Below are 23,244 nucleotides of genomic sequence, written 5' to 3'. Positions count from 1 at the left end.
GAACACCCAGTCTGTGTTGCACAATATGTTACTTAGGTATAAATCAAGGATTCATGTAATTTTGTCATTCCTTGCGTGATATTTTAAAAAACATTCTGTGTAAGGTATTTATAAAGCGTTTACTATTATCCGCAATCACAGGGGCTTGAGGAAAAACTTTGACTGTGGCCGGGCACCGTGGCTCACGCCTGTAATCCCAGCACTTTGGGAGACCGAGCCGGGTGGATCACTTGAGGTCAGCAGTTCGAGACCAGCCTGGCCAACATGGTGAAACCCCCGTCTCTTCTAAAAATACAAAAATTTGTGGGGCGCGCTTGTAGTCCCAGCTACTTGGGAGGCTGAGGCAGGAGGAATCGCTTGAACTCGGGAGGCAGAGCTTGCAGTGAGCCGAGATCGCGCCACTGCACTCCAGCCTGGGCAACAGAGTAGAACTCCGTCTCAAAAAAAAAAAAAAAAAAGAAAGAAAGAAAAAAAAGTGGACTGTGAAAACTGAAAGGACTAGAAAAACTACACTACAAAGATACAGAAACCAAGAAAGCACCATAGCGTTTGCCTTCAACTGCTTCCCAACTTGTTTTCCTCTTCCAATTTGATTGTGGTTTCCTCTCCAGAAGGAACTCCACAGTACTTAGCGTTGGCCACATAGTAGGTTCTCAAATACTTGTTAATAAATAAGTTTGTTCGAGAAGCTGGGCAATGATATTCTACAGCTGGAAGAAGAAACATAATGATCTAGTAATTAGCTCATTAAAAATAAACGTTCTTCTTTCCTCAGAGGAGCATTTCCCAAGGCCTGCCTTGATAGCCATCCAAAAAGGCCAAGCTCATCCAATCTTGCCCTAGATTTATGCTAAAATGCAGTTACAATCGATAGGATGACAGAAAACGACAGCACTTATTTAAATATAATAGGCACTTATTTAAATAGGAGAAGCTGTGACTTCATAGCAAGTGTTGGGGTTAGGAAACTGGGTGGATAAACTTGCTGATGCTGTAGATCTTAGCCTCTACATGAGATCATGTGGAAAATCTGAAAGCATTTTAGGTTCCTTATGTTTGCAATCAAATAACTGTACACCTTTTAATTTAAAAAGTACCATGAGGCACACACACACACTCGCAGGAACTTTTTGGCGTAACAAAACTAGAATTAGATCTAAAGCTAACTGTAGGACTGAGTCTATTCTAAACTGAAAGCCTGGACATCTGGAGTACCAGGGGGAGATGACGTGTTACGGGCTTCCATAAAAGCAGCTGGCTTTGAATGGAAGGAGCCAAGAGGCCAGCACAGGAGCGGATTCGTCGCTTTCACGGCCATCGAGCCGAACCTCTCGCAAGTCCGTGAGCCGTTAAGGAGGCCCCCAGTCCCGACCCTTCGCCCCAAGCCCCTCGGGGTCCCCGGGCCTGGTACTCCTTGCCACACGGGAGGGGCGCGGAAGCCGGGGCGGAGGAGGAGCCAACCCCGGGCTGGGCTGAGACCCGCAGAGGAAGACGCTCTAGGGATTTGTCCCGGACTAGCGAGATGGCAAGGCTGAGGACGGGAGGCTGATTGAGAGGCGAAGGTACACCCTAATCTCAATACAACCTTTGGAGCTAAGCCAGCAATGGTAGAGGGAAGATTCTGCACGTCCCTTCCAGGCGGCCTCCCCGTCACCACCCCCCCCAACCCGCCCCGACCGGAGCTGAGAGTAATTCATACAAAAGGACTCGCCCCTGCCTTGGGGAATCCCAGGGACCGTCGTTAAACTCCCACTAACGTAGAACCCAGAGATCGCTGCGTTCCCGCCCCCTCACCCGCCCGCTCTCGTCATCACTGAGGTGGAGAAGAGCATGCGTGAGGCTCCGGTGCCCGTCAGTGGGCAGAGCGCACATCGCCCACAGTCCCCGAGAAGTTGGGGGGAGGGGTCGGCAATTGAACCGGTGCCTAGAGAAGGTGGCGCGGGGTAAACTGGGAAAGTGATGTCGTGTACTGGCTCCGCCTTTTTCCCGAGGGTGGGGGAGAACCGTATATAAGTGCAGTAGTCGCCGTGAACGTTCTTTTTCGCAACGGGTTTGCCGCCAGAACACAGGTAAGTGCCGTGTGTGGTTCCCGCGGGCCTGGCCTCTTTACGGGTTATGGCCCTTGCGTGCCTTGAATTACTTCCACGCCCCTGGCTGCAGTACGTGATTCTTGATCCCGAGCTTCGGGTTGGAAGTGGGTGGGAGAGTTCGAGGCCTTGCGCTTAAGGAGCCCCTTCGCCTCGTGCTTGAGTTGAGGCCTGGCTTGGGCGCTGGGGCCGCCGCGTGCGAATCTGGTGGCACCTTCGCGCCTGTCTCGCTGCTTTCGATAAGTCTCTAGCCATTTAAAATTTTTGATGACCTGCTGCGACGCTTTTTTTCTGGCAAGATAGTCTTGTAAATGCGGGCCAAGATCTGCACACTGGTATTTCGGTTTTTGGGGCCGCGGGCGGCGACGGGGCCCGTGCGTCCCAGCGCACATGTTCGGCGAGGCGGGGCCTGCGAGCGCGGCCACCGAGAATCGGACGGGGGTAGTCTCAAGCTGGCCGGCCTGCTCTGGTGCCTGGCCTCGCGCCGCCGTGTATCGCCCCGCCCTGGGCGGCAAGGCTGGCCCGGTCGGCACCAGTTGCGTGAGCGGAAAGATGGCCGCTTCCCGGCCCTGCTGCAGGGAGCTCAAAATGGAGGACGCGGCGCTCGGGAGAGCGGGCGGGTGAGTCACCCACACAAAGGAAAAGGGCCTTTCCGTCCTCAGCCGTCGCTTCATGTGACTCCACGGAGTACCGGGCGCCGTCCAGGCACCTCGATTAGTTCTCGAGCTTTTGGAGTACGTCGTCTTTAGGTTGGGGGGAGGGGTTTTATGCGATGGAGTTTCCCCACACTGAGTGGGTGGAGACTGAAGTTAGGCCAGCTTGGCACTTGATGTAATTCTCCTTGGAATTTGCCCTTTTTGAGTTTGGATCTTGGTTCATTCTCAAGCCTCAGACAGTGGTTCAAAGTTTTTTTCTTCCATTTCAGGTGTCGTGAAAACTACCCCTAAAAGCCAAAATGGGAAAGGAAAAGACTCATATCAACATTGTCGTCATTGGACACGTAGATTCGGGCAAGTCCACCACTACTGGCCATCTGATCTATAAATGCGGTGGCATCGACAAAAGAACCATTGAAAAATTTGAGAAGGAGGCTGCTGAGGTATGTTTAATACCAGAAAGGGAAAGATCAACTAAAATGAGTTTTACCAGCAGAATCATTAGGTGATTTCCCCAGAACTAGTGAGTGGTTTAGATCTGAATGCTAATAGTTAAGACCTTACTTATGAAATAATTTTGCTTTTGGTGACTTCTGTAATCGTATTGCTAGTGAGTAGATTTGGATGTTAATAGTTAAGATCCGACTTATAAAAGTTTGATTTTTGGTTGCTTCTGTAACCCAAAGTGACTAAAATCACTTTGGACTTGGAGTTGTAAAGTGGAAACTGCCAATTAAGGGCTGGGGACAAGGAAATTGAAGCTGGAGTTTGTGTTTTAGTAACCAAGTAACGACTCTTAATCCTTACAGATGGGAAAGGGCTCCTTCAAGTATGCCTGGGTCTTGGATAAACTGAAAGCTGAGCGTGAACGTGGTATCACCATTGATATCTCCTTGTGGAAATTTGAGACCAGCAAGTACTATGTGACTATCATTGATGCCCCAGGACACAGAGACTTTATCAAAAACATGATTACAGGGACATCTCAGGTTGGTGGGATTAATAATTCTAGGTTTCTTTATCCCAAAAGGCTTGCTTTGTACACTGGTTTTGTCATTTGGAGAGTTGACAGGGATATGTCTTTGCTTTCTTTAAAGGCTGACTGTGCTGTCCTGATTGTTGCTGCTGGTGTTGGTGAATTTGAAGCTGGTATCTCCAAGAATGGGCAGACCCGAGAGCATGCCCTTCTGGCTTACACACTGGGTGTGAAACAACTAATTGTCGGTGTTAACAAAATGGATTCCACTGAGCCACCCTACAGCCAGAAGAGATATGAGGAAATTGTTAAGGAAGTCAGCACTTACATTAAGAAAATTGGCTACAACCCCGACACAGTAGCATTTGTGCCAATTTCTGGTTGGAATGGTGACAACATGCTGGAGCCAAGTGCTAACGTAAGTGGCTTTCAAGACCATTGTTAAAAAGCTCTGGGAATGGCGATTTCATGCTTACACAAATTGGCATGCTTGTGTTTCAGATGCCTTGGTTCAAGGGATGGAAAGTCACCCGTAAGGATGGCAATGCCAGTGGAACCACGCTGCTTGAGGCTCTGGACTGCATCCTACCACCAACTCGTCCAACTGACAAGCCCTTGCGCCTGCCTCTCCAGGATGTCTACAAAATTGGTGGTAAGTTGGCTGTAAACAAAGTTGAATTTGAGTTGATAGAGTACTGTCTGCCTTCATAGGTATTTAGTATGCTGTAAATATTTTTAGGTATTGGTACTGTTCCTGTTGGCCGAGTGGAGACTGGTGTTCTCAAACCCGGTATGGTGGTCACCTTTGCTCCAGTCAACGTTACAACGGAAGTAAAATCTGTCGAAATGCACCATGAAGCTTTGAGTGAAGCTCTTCCTGGGGACAATGTGGGCTTCAATGTCAAGAATGTGTCTGTCAAGGATGTTCGTCGTGGCAACGTTGCTGGTGACAGCAAAAATGACCCACCAATGGAAGCAGCTGGCTTCACTGCTCAGGTAACAATTTAAAGTAACATTAACTTATTGCAGAGGCTAAAGTCATTTGAGACTTTGGATTTGCACTGAATGCAAATCTTTTTTCCAAGGTGATTATCCTGAACCATCCAGGCCAAATAAGCGCCGGCTATGCCCCTGTATTGGATTGCCACACGGCTCACATTGCATGCAAGTTTGCTGAGCTGAAGGAAAAGATTGATCGCCGTTCTGGTAAAAAGCTGGAAGATGGCCCTAAATTCTTGAAGTCTGGTGATGCTGCCATTGTTGATATGGTTCCTGGCAAGCCCATGTGTGTTGAGAGCTTCTCAGACTATCCACCTTTGGGTAAGGATGACTACTTAAATGTAAAAAAGTTGTGTTAAAGATGAAAAATACAACTGAACAGTACTTTGGGTAATAATTAACTTTTTTTTTAATAGGTCGCTTTGCTGTTCGTGATATGAGACAGACAGTTGCGGTGGGTGTCATCAAAGCAGTGGACAAGAAGGCTGCTGGAGCTGGCAAGGTCACCAAGTCTGCCCAGAAAGCTCAGAAGGCTAAATGAATATTATCCCTAATACCTGCCACCCCACTCTTAATCAGTGGTGGAAGAACGGTCTCAGAACTGTTTGTTTCAATTGGCCATTTAAGTTTAGTAGTAAAAGACTGGTTAATGATAACAATGCATCGTAAAACCTTCAGAAGGAAAGGAGAATGTTTTGTGGACCACTTTGGTTTTCTTTTTTGCGTGTGGCAGTTTTAAGTTATTAGTTTTTAAAATCAGTACTTTTTAATGGAAACAACTTGACCAAAAATTTGTCACAGAATTTTGAGACCCATTAAAAAAGTTAAATGAGAAACCTGTGTGTTCCTTTGGTCAACACCGAGACATTTAGGTGAAAGACATCTAATTCTGGTTTTACGAATCTGGAAACTTCTTGAAAATGTAATTCTTGAGTTAACACTTCTGGGTGGAGAATAGGGTTGTTTTCCCCCCACATAATTGGAAGGGGAAGGAATATCATTTAAAGCTATGGGAGGGTTGCTTTGATTACAACACTGGAGAGAAATGCAGCATGTTGCTGATTGCCTGTCACTAAAACAGGCCAAAAACTGAGTCCTTGTGTTGCATAGAAAGCTTCATGTTGCTAAACCAATGTTAAGTGAATCTTTGGAAACAAAATGTTTCCAAATTACTGGGATGTGCATGTTGAAACGTGGGTTAAAATGACTGGGCAGTGAAAGTTGACTATTTGCCATGACATAAGAAATAAGTGTAGTGGCTAGTGTACACCCTATGAGTGGAAGGGTCCATTTTGAAGTCAGTGGAGTAAGCTTTATGCCAGTTTGATGGTTTCACAAGTTCTATTGAGTGCTATTCAGAATAGGAACAAGGTTCTAATAGAAAAAGATGGCAATTTGAAGTAGCTATAAAATTAGACTAATCTACATTGCTTTTCTCCTGCAGAGTCTAATACCTTTTATGCTTTGATAATTAGCAGTTTGTCTACTTGGTCACTAGGAATGAAACTACATGGTAATAGGCTTAACAGGTGTAATAGCCCACTTACTCCTGAATCTTTAAGCATTTGTGCATTTGAAAAATGCTTTTCGCGATCTTCCTGCTGGGATTACAGGCATGAGCCACTGTGCCTGACCTCCCATATGTAAAAGTGTCTAAAGGTTTTTTTTTGGTTATAAAAGGAAAATTTTTGCTTAAGTTTGAAGGATAGGTAAAATTAAAGGACATGCTTTCTGTTTGTGTGATGGTTTTTAAAAATTTTTTTTAAGATGGAGTTCTTGTTGCCCAGGCTAGAATGCAATGGCAAAATCTCACTGCAATCTCCTCCTCCTGGGTTCAAGCAATTCTCCTACTTCAGCCTCCCAAGTAGCTGGGATTACAGGCATGTGCTAATTTGGTGTTTTTAATAGAGATGAGGTTTTTCCATGTTGGTCAGGCTGGTCTCAAACTCCTGACCTTAGGTGATCGCCTCGGCCTCCTAAAGTGCTGGAATTACAGGCATGAGCCACCATGCCTGGCCAGGACATGTGTTCTTAAGGACATGCTAAGCAGGAGTTAAAGCAGCCCAAGAGATAAGGCCTCTTAAAGTGACTGGCAATGTGTATTGCTCAAGATTCAAAGGTACTTGAATTGGCCATAGACAAGTCTGTAATGAAGTGTTATCGTTTTCCCTCATCTGAGTCTGAATTAGATAAAATGCCTTCCCATCAGCCAGTGCTCTGAGGTATCAAGTCTAAATTGAACTAGAGATTTTTGTCCTTAGTTTCTTTGCTATCTAATGTTTACACAAGTAAATAGTCTAAGATTTGCTGGATGACAGAAAAAACAGGTAAGGCCTTTAATAGATGGCCAATAGATGCCCTGATAATGAAAGTTGACACCTGTAAGATTTACCAGTAGAGAATTCTTGACATGCAAGGAAGCAAGATTTAACTGAAAAATTGTTCCCACTGGAAGCAGGAATGAGTCAGTTTACTTGCATATACTGAGATTGAGATTAACTTCCTGTGAAACCCAGTGTCTTAGACAACTGTGGCTTGAGCACCACCTGCTGGTATTCATTACAAACTTGCTCACTACAATAAATGAATTTTAAGCTTTAAGATGAAGTGGCATTTCTTTTAACAGTTACTATGTTGGAATTGGTTACAAATTTTGGAGTGGATTTCAAAAGTGAGAGCTAACTTCAGTTGATTTCAAGGTAGTGCTTGGCTTTTTTTGTTTAGACAGGGTTTTACTCCTGCCCTGGTTGGAGTGGAAGTTAACGGCTAACTGCAGTCCTGACTTCTGGGCTTAAGTGATCTTCCCTGAATAGCAGGGACCACAGGTTTTTGCCACCACGCCTGGCTAATTTTTGTATTTTGCCATGTTGCCAAGGCTGGTCAACTCCTGGGCTCAAGTGATCTGCCTGTACTGTATCTTTCCCAGTTAATCTGATATTTATCTTTTAAATCTCAGATGTGCCAGGGCCTCGGCAGTGACTCAAGGAAGAACCCATGTGCTCTTAGTGGGACACGATTTGTTCAGACCTACTAACCTCAACCCAGTTTCAGTTCTTTATAGTGGAGAATGTTGACAGTTTACACTGACAGGCCACATTTTAGCATTGTGTTATCTTCATGGTTTTTTTTCTTTTGAGATGAAGTTCCAAACTTAGTAACTTACCATTTACTTTTTAGTGTAATTCTAAAAGATTTCATTCAGCTAGAACTACCCTGATATTTAACTGTCCTTTTTCTCTTACCTAATTATTGGCAATTAAACATTTTTGTCATTTACTTTGGGACTGTTTTTAGCAGGCCCATGGATCTCAAGGTTTAGTTTTGTGGGTTCTATGGGAGACAATGACAATGAAGATAAACGTTAATGTTGCAATAATTCTAAGCAAGGGATATTAGAAAATGAAGCAGGCCAGGTCATGGCTCACGCCTGTAATTCCACCATTTTGGGAGGCTGAGGTGGGGAGATCACAAGGTCAGGAGTTCAGACCAGCCTTGCTAATATGCTGAAACCCCATCTCTACTGAAAATACAAAATTAGCTGGGTGTGGTGGCAGGTGCCTATAGTTACGAGGCTGAGCCAAGATCACACCACTGCACTCCAGCCTGGGCGACAGAGAAAGACTTCATCTCAAAAAAAAAAAAAAAAAAAAAGCAAAAGGCTGGGCGCAGTGCCTCGAATCCTAGCACTTTGGGAGGCTGAGGCGAGAAGATCTGCTAAATACAAAAGAAAAGCAAGGTGTGGTAGCACATGCCTATAGTCCCAACTGAGGCTGAGGCAGGAGAATCCCTTTAGCTTGGAAGGTGGGGGTTGCGGTGAGCCAAGATCTTGCCAGGGCACTCCAGCCTGGGTGACAGGGCAAGACTGTCTCAAAAAATAAAGATGCCGGGTGCAGTGGCTCACGCCTGTAATCCCAGCACTTTGGGAGGCCGAGGTGGGCGGATCACAAGGTCAGGAGATCGAGACCATCCTGGCTAAAACGGTGAAGCCCCCGTTTCTACTAAAAATAAAAATTAGCCGGGCATGGTGGTGGGCGCCTGTAGTCCCAGCTACTCGGGAGGCTGAGGCAGGAGAACAGCATCAACCCGGGAGGCGGAGTTTGCACTGAGCCGAGATTGCGCCACTGCACTCCAGCCTGGACGACAAAGTGCGACTTCGTCTCAAAAAAGTATATATATAATAATAAAAATTAGCTGGGCATGGTCGTACACACCTGTAGTCCCAAGCTACTCTGGGGGGTTCAGGCAGGAGGATCGCTTCATCCTGGGAGGCTGAGGCTGCAGTGAGCTATGATGGTGCTATGTACTCCAGCCTCGGCAACAGTGAGACCCCGTCTCCTAGGTTCAAGCAATTCTGCCTCAGCCTCCTGAGTAGCTAGGACCACAGGTGCCCACCACCACACCTGCCTAATTTTTGTATTTTCAGTAGAGACCGGGTTTTACCATGTTGGTCAGGCTGGTCTCCAACTCCTGACCTCAGGTGGTCTGCCCGTCTTGGCCTCCCAAAGTGCTGGGGTTACAGGCGTGAGCCTGTATATATCAGTAATCTCTTACTTTTTAATGGGTGTATGACAGTTTGTGTATTCATTCCCAGCTGAGGGGCATTTAGTTGTTTCCAGTTTGGGGCAATTATTAATAAAGCTGCTATAAATGTCCACATATAGTTTTGTATGTAATAATGTTTTTATTTTACTTGTGTAAATAGCTAGGAAAGTGATTACTGGGCTGAGTGGCAAAGCGTATGCTTTTTAAGAAACTGCCGAGTTGTTTCCAAAGTGGTTGAACCATTTAGTAATTAAGAGATCAACTTTTTTGAGGAAGACAAATAGACTACCTGAGTGTTAAACTGATATTTTGCAGGTCAGTGAAGTAATTTGTTTATAAAATATTGTGCTTACTATGTTCTAGGCACCGTTCTAGGCATTGGGGATAGAGCTATGAACAAAATGGACATGGTTATTGACCTTTGAGTTTATAGTTAGTGGGGGAGATAGAGATTCAATAAATAAAATTAGCTACTTTTGAGTTGTGATGGTACTATGAAGGAAAAGAGAAATATACCATGAGGGAGAAGAGTAAATGAAAGGGACATAATTTAGACTGGCCAGAGAAGGTATTTGCCAGGAATAGCTGAGACCTGAAGGATAAGTAGGAGTTAGGGGAGAATATGACAACATTGTGTGTGTAATATATATATGCATACACACACACAATGTTTTCATATTCTCCCCAACTCCTACATATAATATATATAATTATATACATGCATACACACACACACATACATATATATTTATTTTCTTGAGACAGAGTCTCGCTCTGTCACCAGGCTGGAGTGCAGTGGCTTGATCTCGCCACACTGCAACCTCTGCCTCCCAGGTTCAAGCTATTCTCCTGCCTCAGCCTCCCAAGTAGCTGGGACTACAGGCACATGCCACCATGCCCAGCTAATTTTTGTGTTTTTAGTAGAGATGGGGTTTCACCATGTTGACCAGGATGGTCTTGATCTCTTGACCTCATGACCCACCTGACTTCGCCTCCCAAAGTGCTGGGATTACAGGCATGAGCCACCACACCCAGCCCTATATATTTTTATTTTATTTATTGTTTTGACACTTTTTTTTTTTTTGAGACAAGAGTCTCACTCTGTTGCCCAGGCTGGCATGCAATGATGCTATATCAGCTCACTGCAACCTCCACCTCCCCAGTTCAAGTGTTTCTTGTGCCTCGGGTTCCCAAGTAGCTGGGACTACAGGCATGCACCACCACACCCAGCTAATTTTTGTATTTTTAGTAGAGAAGGGGTTTTACCATGTTGGCCATGCTGGTCTCGAACTCCTGACCTCAAGTGATCCACCTGCTTCGGCCTCCCAAAGTGCTTCTATTACAGGCATGAGCCACTGCACCCGGCTTGTATTACTTTTTAGACATGTCAGTATTTAAGGCTTAATTTGGCCTCAGGACAATCACATAGAATCAGAAAATCTGAGAAGAAAACTTAAAAACCTTTGAATCTAACCTACTCAAATAAACTTTGAATATATTTATTGAAATATTTAATTTGTTTATTTTTTATTTTTTTATTTTAGAGACAAGGTCTCACTAAAGTGCAGGCTAGAGTGCAGTGACACAATCATGGCTATGGCTCACTGCAACCTCAAACTCCTGGGCTCAAGCGATTCTGTTGCCTTAGGTTCGCCAGGAGCTGGCACTACAGGTGCCACCACACCTGGCTTTTTTGTTTTGTTTTTTTTGGGTAGAGAAGGGGATTTGGTATGTTGCTTAGGCTGATCTTGAACTCCTAGCCTCACGCAATCCTGCTTCGGCTTTCCAAAATGTTGGGATTATAGGCATGAGCCATGCGCCTGACCTTGATTACCTCGATGATGTGTATGTCATACATTGGAGGGCAAAGACATCTCTGAATTCCTCACAACAGCCATGGCAGGGGGCAGGTACCCATGTTACAGATGACAGACTGATGCATAGAGAAGTTAAGTCGTGGGGAGTTTACTTTCTCCTAAATTGTCCTGTTACTAGATGAATTTGTTTTTGTTTCATTTTGTTTTGTTTTTGAGACAGAGTCTCATGTTGTCACCCAGACTGGAGTGCAGTGGCTCCATCTCGGCTCACTATAGCCTCCGCCTCCTGAGTTCAAGTGATTCTCCTGCCTCAGCCTCCCAAGTAGCTGGGTGCATGCCACCACGCCTGGCTAATTTTTGTATTTTTAGTATAGATGGGGTTTCACCATGTTGGCCAGACTGGTCTCGAACTCCTGACCTCAAGTGATCCACCCCGCGCTTAGCCTCCCAAAGTGCTGGGATTATAGGCGTGAGCCACCACACCAGGCCATGAATTTGTTTTCAATATTTATTTATTTTGTATTTTCTATTTTTGAGATGGAGTCTCGCTCTGCTGTCCAGGCTAGAGTGCAGTGGTGTGATCTTGGCTCACTGTAGCCTCCACCTCCTGAGTTCAAGTGATTCTCCTGCCTTAGCCTCCCGAGTAGCTGGGATTACAGGCGCCCACCATCACACCCGGCTAATTTTTGTATTTTTAGTAGAGATGGGGTTTCACCATGTTGGCCACGCTGGTCTCAAACTGACCTCAATTGATCCACCCACCTTGACCTCCCAAAGTGCTGGGATTACAGACCTGAGCCACAGCGCCCAGCCCTTCAATATTTATTTAAATTTGCCTGCTGGCTAACTTCTCATTGCACCTGGGCTCTAGTGTAATTAAATTACTTCATTCTCTTTTTAAAACTTTTTACTTTTTTCTTTTTTGTGTTTTTCATTCTCTTATCTACGAGAGCCACAATACTTGAAGACACCAATTGATACCCCTTAGTCACATCTGAGCTAAACACTTTCAGTTCCTACAGCTGTTTCTTAATCTTAGGTCACATGGTTTCTTCCCATGCTGTTCTTCCCAGACAGCATTTTTTTTTTTTTTTGAGAGTCTCACTCTGTTGCCCAGGCTGGAGTACAGTAGCACAATCTCAGTTTACTGCAACCTCTGCCTTCCAGGTTCAGGTGATTCTCCTGCTTCAGCCTCCTGAGTAGCTGGGACTACAGGAGCGTGCCACCACGCCCGGCTAATTTTTGTATTTTTAGTAGAGACAGGGTTTCACCATGTTGGCCAGGCTGGTCTTGAACTCCTGACCTAAAGTGATCTGCCCATATATGGTCTTTTCCTTACATGTATTTTGTTTCATTTTATTTTATTTTATTTTATTTATTTTATTTTATTTATTTTATTTTATTTTATTTATTTTATTTTATATTTTATTTTATTTTGAGATGAAGTCTTGCCCTGTTGCCCAGGCTGGAGTGCAATGGTGTGATCTCAGCTCACTGCAACCTCCACCTCACAGGTTCAAGCTATTCCCCTGCCTCAGCCTCCCAAGTTGCTGGGATTACAGGCATGCACCACCAAACCCAGCTAATTTTTCATAGTAGGGACGGGGTTTCACCATATTGGCCAGGCTGGTCTCGAACTCCTTACCTTGTGATCCGCCTGTCTCGGCCTCCCAAAGTGGTGGGATTACAGGTGTGAGCCACCACGCCTGGTTCTTACATTTATTTTGGAATAAATTTAGATACACAGAAAAGTTGCAAAGATAAGAGTTTCCATATAACCCTCACCCAGTTTGCCTTCCCTAATGTTAACATCTTACATTATCATGGTACATTTGTCAAAACTAAGACACTTTTTTTTCTAATAAAAATAATAGAGATGAGGTCTCACTATATTGTCCAGGCTGGTCTCAAACTTTGAGCTCAAGCAGTCCTCCCACCTCCACCTCCCAAAGTGCTGGGATTACAGGCATGAACCACCACACCCAGCCTACATTGTTATGTTACTACTCTCCAGACTATTCAGATTTCACCAATTTTTCTATCCATAGCCTTTTTTTCTGTTTCAGGATCCAATTCAGGACACCATACCACTGTATGGTTAATTTTAAAAACTCAAATGTTGGGAGTTTGCTTTATCACCGCTGTATCTTATCATCTCGTTAGATAATTTTGTATCTGGAGCCTGCTCTCTAGCATGAATAAGTAAAAATGTGGACTTTGTGATTTACAGATCTGATATTTATGTTTTTGTGTTTTTACTTTAAGTACTAGACAAAGTAAATCTAAGAGGTCTGTGGTACTGCACTAGAGAATTGTTACTTGATTATGGTGGGCCAAGTGGTTGAAAATTTACCTAACAATACTATAACATAGGCCATATTTCATAATTTTAATCACAAGGCAATTGTGAAAATTTTATCAAATGTTTAATAAAAGCAAGGTGAAGAAGGTGATAGCTTTAAATTTACTTGCCATTTTTGGGCACACAAAAGTAATTTGCTCTGCCACTTAGAGTTATAAGGTCAAAGTGGGAGTAAATAATCTTTGTATTAGGAATTAAAAGTTTCTATTTTAGCCAGTCATGGTTTCCCTAAAAGAGTTCATGTAGTTTTGCTTTTGTCAAACTTTACATTTAAAGCTAACTCAAAACAGATAAAAGCACAATATGCAGCCTGGATTTTCCTTTAACACAATCTCTTTTGAGACATTGTCCGAAATATGGGTTATTGCTCGTATAAAGCGAAATAGACTTAAGTCAAAAGTAAGCAGTTTCATTTATTCCAGTGAAAAAAGCGTATAGAAGATTGTGTGGTTTTCAGAGGTTAAATACCAGATGGCTAATACCAAATGAAAAACATAAATAAAACTTGGTTATATTTTCAGTACAATCATGTGATTGAGGGAATATCCTAGTTGGTGTTGGGATAAACCAAGTTACCATGTAAGCAATTTGAGTTTGACTTCTAGTGCTGTCTGGAGGCATGCAAACTGAGGAACTGGTTCTCAGCCTTCTGGTGAGGGCATCTGCAACATTTTCTGAGGCCTGGATTGTAACCATATGGGTATAACAGTGCAGCTATATTGGTGCAACAAAAGAAGAACCTCGTGGAGCATTGACCTACAGTCCCCATCTTTAGCCATTATCATACCTTCTTGATTGACTCTTTGGACTTCCCTGTTGAGCCTCTTGCAGGATTCTATATATAACTAGCAACCCAGTAAACATCTGATGAGAAATGAGGTGATTTTTATTCATTTATGGTTGGGTACAAAGAATGTTTTCTCATAGCTATCTTTATGTTGAAGTTAGGGATGCATTTCTTAGAACTCAATTTCTCATTTTGTATAACTGCTCATCAGTATTTTTCTTCAGAGCTATAATACCTCTGAATTTTCAGTTAAACTGCCCTCCTTGAGGTTGTTTCTTGTGAAACTGGAAATACAGAAAATTCCAACAGTTTTCTTAAATTACTTGAAACACCACATACACATAGCACAGTCTGGTCTTGTGTCAAAATACAGTATATTCTAGAAGTGTTTCCTTTTAAATTTAGCCAGTGTTTTTTTTTATGTATCTTAATTTACTGTTATAAATTTGGATTGCCCATGTTTTAAAAGGATGTAGACCAACTCTAAAAGAGAATTCTAAAAGCAACCAACATAATTAAAGACTAAAAATGACTTAATTACAAGCCACTGGACTAAAAAATAGTTGTTTAGCCTAGCAAATTCTAAGAAATTATTATTGTCTTCAGATATAGGAGGAATATTTTAAGTCTGCAGAGGGTGCTGTTCAAGTGAAATTCACACTCTGAATTCCCCTACAGCCTCCAAATTCTGGGATAACCTTTGAAATAGAGTGAGTGCCATAATGGCTAATTAAGCATGGCACCTCCATAAATGCTTAACCTGAAATAGGTTACAAAGGATTGGAATGGGAACTGAAGGTTAAGAGAAACAGACTTCCAGATTGTTCAAAAGGGATGGAGAATTTTTTTTTTTTTTTTTTTTTTTTGAGACAGAGTCTCGCTTTGTCGCCCAGGCTAGAGTGCAGTGGCGCGATCTCGGCTCATTGCAAGCTCCGCCTCCTGGCTTCACGCCATTCTCCTGCCTCAGCCTCCCGAGTAGCTGGGACTACAGGCGCGCACCACCACACCCGGCTAATTTTTCGTATTTTTAGTAGACACGGGGTTTCACCATGTTAGCCAGGATGGTCTCTATTTCCTGACCTCGTGATCCGCCCGCCTTGGCCTCCCAAAGTGTTGGGATTACAGGCGTGAGCCACCGCACCCTGCCGGGATGGAGAAACTTTTAATCCAGTAGAGGACCTCTGGTCCCTAGGAGGGAAAAATCCACTGAAAGTGGCAGAAAGGTGTTGTGAAGTCAGAAGACCTGAGATCTATGCTCAACAGCAACTTGAAGTTAGACTTTAATTACATCACCTCGCAAGGCTAAGTTATATCTATAAAATTGGAGCATAGGAAGAGATCAGTAAGACTTTAAGTTTTTAAAAACTTTTTAGAAAAATTCTTACTCTGAGGAATACACAGATCCTAACCTGTTGGGGTTTTCCTGTCAGAAAGTAGTGCTGTTCAAACAGATTGTGTTTTTTCAAACTTTTGACTGTGATCCACAATAAGAAACATTTTCATTTATTTTTTAGAGACTGGGTCTTGCTCTGTTGCCTAGGCTGGAGTACAGTGGTATAATCAGAGCTCACTGCAGCCTTGAACTCCTGGGCTCAAGTGATCCTCCCACTTTGGCCTTCCAAAGTGCTGGGATTACAGGTGTGAACCACCATACCTGGCCTGAAATACATTTTATATTGCAGCACAATACAAACACACACACTGTATTTCATTGCATCTAAGATGTTTTTCAGTCACAAATGCTGCCAGTTATAACTGTCAGATGCCATTAATTGTAAGACATACTCCAACTTAGAGATACTAAAATATGGAAAGATGTGCATCTTAAAATTGGTGAATATAGACCGAGCGCGGTGGCGCACGCCTGTAATCCCAGAGGTCATCCACCCACTTTGGGAAGCCAAGGTGGGTGGATCACCTGAGGTCAGGAGTTCAAGACTAGCCTGGCCAACATGGTGAAACTCTGTCTCTACTAAAAATACAAAAATTAGCCGGGTGTGGTGGCACAAGCCTGTAATCCCAGCTACTCAGGAGGCTGAGGCAAGAGAATCGCTTGAACCCGGGAGGCAGAGTTTGCAGTGACCTGATGTTGCGCCATTGCACTCCAGCCTGGGCAACAAGAGCGAAACTCCATCTCAAAAAAAAAAAAAAAAAAAAAAAGTGATAAAACACTGTATTAGTTCATTTTCATGCTGCTGATAAAGACATACCTGAAACTTTAATTGGAACTTTAAGTCCAATTAAACCTCTTTTCGTCCCCAAAGTTCCACATGGCTGAGGAAGCCTCAGAATCTTGGCGGGAGGCGAAAGGCACTTCTTACATGGGAGTGGCAAGAGAAAATGAGGAAGAAGCAAAATCGGAAACCCCTGATAAACCCATCAGATCTTGTGAGACTTATTCACTATCACAAGAAAGCATGGTAAAAACCGGCCCTTGTGATTCAATTACCTCCCTGTGGGTCCCTCCCACAACATGTGGGAATTCTGAGAGATACAGTTCAAGTTGAGATTTGGGTGGGGACACAGCCAAACCATATCAAACAAAGAACATAAAAATTTCCATCTTGGCTGTGCACGGTGGCTCATGCCTGTAATCCCAGCACTTTGAGAGGCTGAGGGAGGTGGATCACGAGGTCAGGAGATCGAGACCATCTGGCTAACATGGTGAAACCCTGTCTCCACTAAAAATAGAAAAAATTAGCTGAGCATGGTGGCACGCGCCTGTAGTCTCAGCTGCTCGGGAGGCTGAGGCAAGAGAATCACTTTAACCCAGCAGGAGGAGGTTGCAGTGAGCCGAGATAGTGCCACTGCACTCTAGCCTGAGTGACAGAGCGAGACTCCGTCTCAAGAAAAAAAAAAGAAAAAGAAAAATTCCATCGTAACCATTTGTAAATGAACAGTTCATTGGCATTTAAAATATTCAAATTGTTGTGCAACCATCACCATCAACCATCTCCAGAACTCTTTTCATCTTGCAAAACTTGAAATTCTGGACTGGGCATGGTGGCTCACCCCTGTAATCCCAGCACTTTGGGAGGTCGAGGTGGGCGGATCATGAGGTCAGGAGTTCGAGACTAGCTTGGCCAACCTGTGAAACCCTGTCTCTATTAAAAATACAAAAATTAGCTGGGCATGATGGCAGGCGCCTGTAATCCCAGACTCAGGAGACTGAGGCAGAAGAATCATTTGAACCTAGGAGGCAGAGGTTGCAGTGAACCAAGATCACACCATTGCACTCCAGCCTGGGTGACAGTGTGAGGCTCCATCTCAAAAACAAAAACAAAAACAAAACAAAAAAACTGAAATTCTGTACTCACTAAAGAATAGTTTCCTGTTTCTCCCTCCCCCATCCCCTGGTAACCATCATTTTACTGTCTCTATGAATTTGAGTGCTCCAGGTAACTCTTATAAAGGGAATCATACAGTATTTGTCTTTTTGTGACTGGCTGATTTCAGTTAGCATAACTTTTTCAAGGTTTATCCATGCTGTAGCATGTATATGAATTTCCTTCCTTTTTAAGGCTGTATAATATTCCATTGTATGTATATGCCACATTTTGTTTATCCTTTCATTCATTGGTGGATACTTGGGCTACTTCCAGCTTTTGGCTATTGTGAATTAATGCTACTTTGAACATGACTGTACAAATTTTTTTTTTTTGAGACAGTCTTGCTCTGTTGCCCAGGCTGGAGTGCAGTGGCTTGATCTCAGCTCATTGCAACTTCCATCTCCCAGGTTCAAGCGATTCTTGTGCCTCAGCCACCTGAGTAGCTCGGATTACAGGCGCATGCCACCACGCCCAGCTAATTTTTGTATTTTAATAAGAGATGGGGTTTCAACATGTTGGTCAGGCTGGTCTCAAACTCCTATCCTCAAGTGATCTGCTTGCGCTGGCAGATTTGTAATCCCAAAATGCTGGGATTACAGATGTGAGCCACCACACCTGGGCTTTTTTTCAGGCAGGGTCTCACTCTGTTGCCCAGGCTGGAGTGTGGTGGCATGCTATCAACTCACTGCAGCCTCAAACTCCCCGGCTCAAGTGATTCTCCTGCCTCAGCCCCCAAGTTGCTGGAACAACAGGTACGTGCCACCATGCTTGGCTTATTTTTGTATTTTTGGTAAAGACGGAGTTTCGCCATGTTGCCCAGGCTGGTCTTGAACTGCTGAGCTCAAGTGATCCGCCTGGCCTCCCAAAGTGCTGGGATTACAGGCGTAAGCCACCGTGCCTGGCCTGTCACAAATATTTTGATCTCATTTAATTATTCACTTGAGTTTTAGTAATACCATTTCTTGCCTTTAGTAGTATTCATTAATCTATTTAAAAAGCACGAGTATCTACAACTGTGATATTGCTTATATTTACAAGGCTTATATCTTCTTAAGGTAGACAGATATTAACATTAAGGTAGGGCCAGGCACATGGTGGCTCATGCCTGTACTATCACCTACACAGGAGGCTGAAGAGGGAGGATTAATTGAGCCCAGGACTTTGAGACCAGCCTGGGCAACATAGTAAGACCCCATATCTACAAAAACTTAAAAATTAGCCGTGCATGGTGGTGCACACCTGTAGTCCCAGCTACTTGGAGGGCTGAGATGGGAGAATAGCTAGAGCCAGGGAGGTTGAGGCTGCAGTGAGCTGTAATCATGCCACTGCACTCCAGCCAGGGTGGCAGAGTGAGATCTTGTCTCTAAATAAAAACATTAAGGTAGAACGAAGTAAGTGTAATAATAGAAGTATTGTGGAGAGGGAGTGTAAGAGGAACAATTAATTTTCACTGTGTGCATTCCAGTGTTAAGTGGCTCTTCCAGATCAGAATAAACCCCTAGTCTCTGCTGGTGGCTTTCCTGATACTCCTGACCACTTCTTCTGGACAGGGCATTCTTCTAGGAGTTGAAATTTCTGAAGTAGAAAAGCCATGGCTATTCCAATCTAGGTTGAAACTAAAAAATGACAAAATACTTTTAAAACCATCAGTAACAAAATTTAAGCTCTTGGCTATAAAGGAACTTCATTTTCAAGGCCATAATCGTTTAATTTAGCATAGGTTCGTATCTTCATCCTTCCTCCCCCAGTAATTTTACAAATGCTTAGTGTTTCTTAGTCATTTCTTATTTTTTGGTGTTCCTGTTGAATTGAATTGAAAAAATACCTGGCTTTTTCAACTGGTAGGCAGTCTGGTCTGTGGTGAATAGAGGAAGTCACAAGTATGGCCAGCTTTCGTTGGCAGCTGATTATTGTCAGTGATGGGATTTCTATGAAGTAACTACATTGAGTAAGGTTACATTTTTAGCTGATTTCTTCCTAGGGCATCATATTCTGTAGTACTTCTGCATAGCAGCACCAGAGGGTAGGCTGTTTTGACATATTAAGTGATGTAATTTTGTTTAAGTTAACATACAAACATTGTGGATTTAAAGAGGTTTCAGGCCACGTGTGGTGGCTCATGCCTGTAATCTGAGCACTTTGGGAGGCCAAGGCAAGAGGATCATTTGAGGCCAGAAGTTCAAGACCAGCCTGGGCAACATAGTGAGACTTCATTCCTACAAAAAATTTTTTTAAAACTTAGCCAGGCATGGTGGCATGTGCCTGTAGTCCCAGCCACTTGGGAGGCTGAGGCATAAGGATCACTTGAGCCCAGGAGATCAAGGCTGCAGTGAGCTATGATTGTACCACTGCACTACAGCCTGGGCAACAGAGTGAGACCCTGTCTCTAAAAAATAAAGAAGTTCACATCCTAAAGCAAATCATAGAATCTAAAATATGTATTTTCCATGAAACATTTTTCAGTGAGACAGTTACTATTGTAATGGAATAGCATTACAAACCTTCATTACTAAGAAACTTTAAAGTTTCTTTATATGTGTATAGTGTCACTAGCCCCAAATTGTAGCTGTCAAGAACCTCCCAAAATATTTGAACTTCCTGTTTCTTTTTTTTTTTTTGAGACAGAGTCTCACTCTGTTGCCAGGCTGGAGTGCAGTGGCATGATCTTGGCTCACTGCAACCTCTGCCTCCTGAGTTCAAGTGATTCTCTTGCCTCAGCCTCCTGAGTAGTTGGGACTACAGGCACGTGCCAACACACCTAGCTAATTTTTGTATTTTTAGTAGAGATGGGGTTTCACCATGTTGGGCAGGATGGTCTCGATCTCCTGACCTCGTGATCCACCTGCCTCAGCCTCCCAAAGTGCTGGGATTACAGGCGTGAGCCACTGTGCCAGGTTACTTCCCGTTTCTTTAAGATAAATTTTTGTTATATTCTATTCAAAAGGCACTCCATTCACTTTTTTTACTCTTGTATTTAATCAGAAAAAAAAGTTTAGAAACAATGAATTTCATTATTTTGCTGAACGGGTAGCACAAAAACACAAAATACCTTCTTTTCTTTTTCTTTTTTTTGAAACAGTCTCACTCTGTCGCCCAGGCTGGAGTGCAGTGGCACAATCTCAGCTCACTGCAACCTCTGCCTCCTGGGTTCAAGCGATTCTCCTGCCTCAGCCTCCTGAGTAGCTGGGACTACAGGCTTGCTCCACCACGCCTGGCTAATTTTGGTATTTTTAGTGGAGATGGGGTTTTGCCATGTTGGCCAGGCTGGTCTTGAACTCCTGACTTCAGGTTATCCACCCGCCTCAGCCTCCCAAAGTGCTGGGATTACAGGCGTGAGCTGCTGCAACCAGCCTCTTTTCAAAATATATACACAATGTGGTATTGTAATTAATATTGTCTCTGTAAGAAGAATTTTGCCCAGGAGTAGCTATGACTAAAAGTTACGACCTTTTGAAATCACTGAATCAAGTATTAAAAAATATTCATCATTCCTAAATTATCCAGCACTACAAATACTTTTTACTTGCTACTAATCTTACTGCTTTCTGGAAAGACTAAAATTAGATAAAATAAACCCAAGAAAACTAAGCTACCTCCAAGTGGCCATATGCAATTATAGTAACAAGATACTTGGTTGCCTCACACCCATAATCAGGCTTAACATACACATCTGTAGCCAAAGTGACTTTGGGGCCCTTAGAACTCTCCTGAGTACCTGCTTTGGCCCGAAGGTGACACGGGAGCTTCTCCCTAGGCTGACACCAGAGATCTGGGTTGGAATTCCAGAGACAAGCAGGGCTGTCTGGCCCATTTGGCTGTATTCATCCCTTAGTCTATTTAGAATGGTTGAGGTATCTGAGGTATCTGAGTCAAAAGGCCCAGCTGATTATCCCACTCTAACCCCTGTGAAGACATACCATTGAAGTACTGGAGAGGAAGAGGGGTACTACCACTATTCTGTTTTTTCTGTCATTCTGACTTAAAAACAGGGAAACACCACTCACCAGTTACTATGGACCTGTCTTCATTATTAAGAAATGATGGCCATGACAATTTCTTAAGAAAATATTTTTATGGTATGATATAAAATAACTAACGTTACTCAATTCTCCCATAACTAGGTCACCAAATAAGTATCCATCCACACTGTGGATAATAGGAAACAATGGTGATTTCCAATCTTTCTATTTTATAGGGCTTTCATTAATGTTCAAAACAATTACCAGTGAGGATTTCCTGAAGAAGTACAGATTTCTGTCAACTTTCACCCTACATACTATATTCCAATAGTATTAGCTGAATGATTCTGGATAATTTTATATAATCTCAAGTCTTTAGTCTTGAGAATTTAAGGGCTTTGATATTGCTTCCTAGCCTAGTATAACCAAGCAAAAGATTATTAACTCTCAAAACACGCTGAATGATAAGACTTTTAATTTGGTAGACTTAATAGGCAAAGTCCCTATGAGTAGGCAAATCTGCATGTTGAGTTTTATTCCAGGTTCAGTTTTAGGTTCACTGTCTCTCTCTTTGATGAACACTGCACAAAGTTATTTGTATTACAGCTCCTTAAAGAAAGAGTACAAATTGTTTACGACTAGTTTTTTCATATACACGAAAAAGCACAATTATAATTTCTGTCCCACTCAGAAATTAATGGCAAACCCATAGTAACCTAATAAAGCTATTTTAACATGTGCTAAATAATTCTTTTATCTATACTGTTGTATTGATCAAATTATTTATATGCTCTTTAAAAATCTTTTATGAATTGAAAGCTATAACTCTCTCTCTTGAAGTCTGTCTGCATCACATAAGTATTGATCAGTCTTGGATGATTCATTCATAGCCGACTGTCTTCGTTGAGTGGTCTTCACAAATCTCAGCAGATTGATGATGGCGGCAGGTGTTACTCCGGGTATGCGACTAGCAGCCCCGATCTAAAAATCAATACCACAAGAGAAACTAAGTGAGCTATGCTATGTCAAATCAAATCTATTTTCCTCCAAATAACAATCTGTATAGTATAGTTTATACAATATTTTCTTAATTATTATTTTGATGTATTATCTTAACATATTTCCTTGTAAAGTAGATAAAGGAAATATTATTATTTATGTCTTCATTTTACAAATGGGAAACTGAGGCACAGAAATGTTAAAATAGCTTGTGCAAGATTACATAACTAATAGATGTTAGAGTATCTACTTTTTTGTCCCATTAAACTAAGAAAAACTGTAATCAAGTTCCTTTCTTCAAATACAGGTCCACAGTCCCTTATTTGAAATTCTTGAGGCCAGCCTGGGAAAAATAGTGGGACTCTGTCTCTACAGAAAATAAACAAAAATTAGCTTAGGATGGTGGTGCACACTTGTAGTACTAGCCTCTCAGAAAACAAAGGTGGGAGGATCACTTGAGCCTGGGAGGTCGAGAATGCAGTGAGCTGTGATTATGCCACTGCACTCCAGCCTGGGTGACAGAGTAAGCCCCTCTCTCAAAAAAATAAAATGAAATGAAATCCTTGAAGCCATATGTTTTTGTAATAAGATATATCTAATCCTTGAGGCGGTACCTAATGTAACAGCCTCAGCAGTGTGTGGGGCAGCGCCCCACATTTTTAATCCTATTAATATTTCTGCAGTGTATTTTTACAGTGAAATGTATGAATATTCACTCTGAACAGTATAAA

General features: G+C 42.9%; 2 protein-coding genes across 4 annotated transcripts in view, besides 10 other annotated features; one reads left to right on the top strand and one right to left on the bottom strand.

The window, feature by feature from the left end:
• Positions 1,232–2,054: an enhancer, noted in NCBI's record as "NANOG-H3K27ac-H3K4me1 hESC enhancer chr6:74230738-74231560 (GRCh37/hg19 assembly coordinates)". NCBI's record gives its function as "activates a minimal SCP1, AML or CMV promoter by ChIP-STARR-seq in primed H9 embryonic stem cells {active_cell/tissue: H9 hESC(primed)}" and the evidence as "EXISTENCE:reporter gene assay evidence [ECO:0000049][PMID:30033119]".
• Positions 1,280–1,509: a silencer, noted in NCBI's record as "silent region_17335". NCBI's record gives its function as "represses an Ori minimal core promoter by ATAC-STARR-seq in GM12878 lymphoblastoid cells {active_cell/tissue: GM12878}" and the evidence as "EXISTENCE:reporter gene assay evidence [ECO:0000049][PMID:35858748]".
• EEF1A1 (eukaryotic translation elongation factor 1 alpha 1) lies at positions 2,037–7,319 on the top strand. The gene is made up of 8 exons (NM_001402.6): positions 2,037–2,069; positions 3,013–3,186; positions 3,553–3,732; positions 3,841–4,137; positions 4,221–4,371; positions 4,459–4,715; positions 4,805–5,039; positions 5,135–7,319. Exons 2-8 carry the CDS (start codon positions 3,043–3,045, stop codon positions 5,257–5,259), a joined length of 1,389 nt encoding a protein of 462 aa, NP_001393.1. The 5' UTR covers positions 2,037–2,069; positions 3,013–3,042; the 3' UTR covers positions 5,260–7,319.
• Positions 2,055–2,876: an enhancer, noted in NCBI's record as "NANOG-H3K27ac-H3K4me1 hESC enhancer chr6:74229916-74230737 (GRCh37/hg19 assembly coordinates)". NCBI's record gives its function as "activates a minimal SCP1, AML or CMV promoter by ChIP-STARR-seq in primed H9 embryonic stem cells {active_cell/tissue: H9 hESC(primed)}" and the evidence as "EXISTENCE:reporter gene assay evidence [ECO:0000049][PMID:30033119]".
• Positions 2,055–2,919: a biological region, named in NCBI's record as "NANOG-H3K27ac-H3K4me1 hESC enhancer GRCh37_chr6:74229916-74230737".
• Positions 2,090–2,169: an enhancer, noted in NCBI's record as "active region_24750". NCBI's record gives its function as "activates an Ori minimal core promoter by ATAC-STARR-seq in GM12878 lymphoblastoid cells {active_cell/tissue: GM12878}" and the evidence as "EXISTENCE:reporter gene assay evidence [ECO:0000049][PMID:35858748]".
• Positions 2,220–2,329: an enhancer, noted in NCBI's record as "active region_24749". NCBI's record gives its function as "activates an Ori minimal core promoter by ATAC-STARR-seq in GM12878 lymphoblastoid cells {active_cell/tissue: GM12878}" and the evidence as "EXISTENCE:reporter gene assay evidence [ECO:0000049][PMID:35858748]".
• Positions 2,620–2,919: an enhancer, noted in NCBI's record as "active region_24748". NCBI's record gives its function as "activates an Ori minimal core promoter by ATAC-STARR-seq in GM12878 lymphoblastoid cells {active_cell/tissue: GM12878}" and the evidence as "EXISTENCE:reporter gene assay evidence [ECO:0000049][PMID:35858748]".
• Positions 2,877–3,699: an enhancer, noted in NCBI's record as "H3K27ac hESC enhancer chr6:74229093-74229915 (GRCh37/hg19 assembly coordinates)". NCBI's record gives its function as "activates a minimal SCP1, AML or CMV promoter by ChIP-STARR-seq in primed H9 embryonic stem cells {active_cell/tissue: H9 hESC(primed)}" and the evidence as "EXISTENCE:reporter gene assay evidence [ECO:0000049][PMID:30033119]".
• Positions 7,449–7,743: a silencer, noted in NCBI's record as "tiled region #3585; K562 Repressive non-DNase unmatched - State 25:Art". NCBI's record gives its function as "represses a minimal TATA promoter and a strong SV40 promoter by Sharpr-MPRA in K562 cells {active_cell/tissue: K562}" and the evidence as "EXISTENCE:reporter gene assay evidence [ECO:0000049][PMID:27701403]".
• The window catches only part of MTO1 (mitochondrial tRNA translation optimization 1), a 47,500-nt gene continuing 38,088 nt past the window's right edge, over positions 13,833–23,244 (bottom strand). For all 3 annotated transcript variants that reach the window (NM_133645.3, NM_001123226.2, NM_012123.4), the window contains one exon: positions 13,833–22,495. In NM_133645.3, coding sequence (NP_598400.1) covers positions 22,334–22,495 — 162 coding nt within the window. In that variant the 3' untranslated portion in view covers positions 13,833–22,333. The remainder of the gene's footprint in view (positions 22,496–23,244) is intronic.
• Positions 19,316–19,516: a silencer, noted in NCBI's record as "peak5897 fragment used in MPRA reporter construct". NCBI's record gives its function as "represses an SCP1 promoter by STARR-seq MPRAs in K562 erythroleukemia cells {active_cell/tissue: K562}" and the evidence as "EXISTENCE:reporter gene assay evidence [ECO:0000049][PMID:32103011]".

Source organism: Homo sapiens, chromosome 6 (genome assembly GCF_000001405.40).
Source record: "Homo sapiens chromosome 6, GRCh38.p14 Primary Assembly".
Classification (NCBI taxonomy): Eukaryota; Metazoa; Chordata; class Mammalia; order Primates; family Hominidae; genus Homo; species Homo sapiens.
This window is presented reverse-complemented; position numbering and strand designations above follow the sequence as displayed.

Excerpts from the sequence above, each read along its gene's own strand:
- EEF1A1 (NM_001402.6), top strand. The coding sequence starts at position 3,043 with ATGGGAAAGGAAAAGACTCATATCAACATTGTCGTCATTGGACACGTA. Across the intron at positions 4,138-4,220 it reads TGCTGGAGCCAAGTGCTAAC|ATGCCTTGGTTCAAGGGATG; the intron begins GTAAGTGGCTTT and ends CTTGTGTTTCAG. Across the intron at positions 4,716-4,804 it reads CAGCTGGCTTCACTGCTCAG|GTGATTATCCTGAACCATCC; the intron begins GTAACAATTTAA and ends CTTTTTTCCAAG.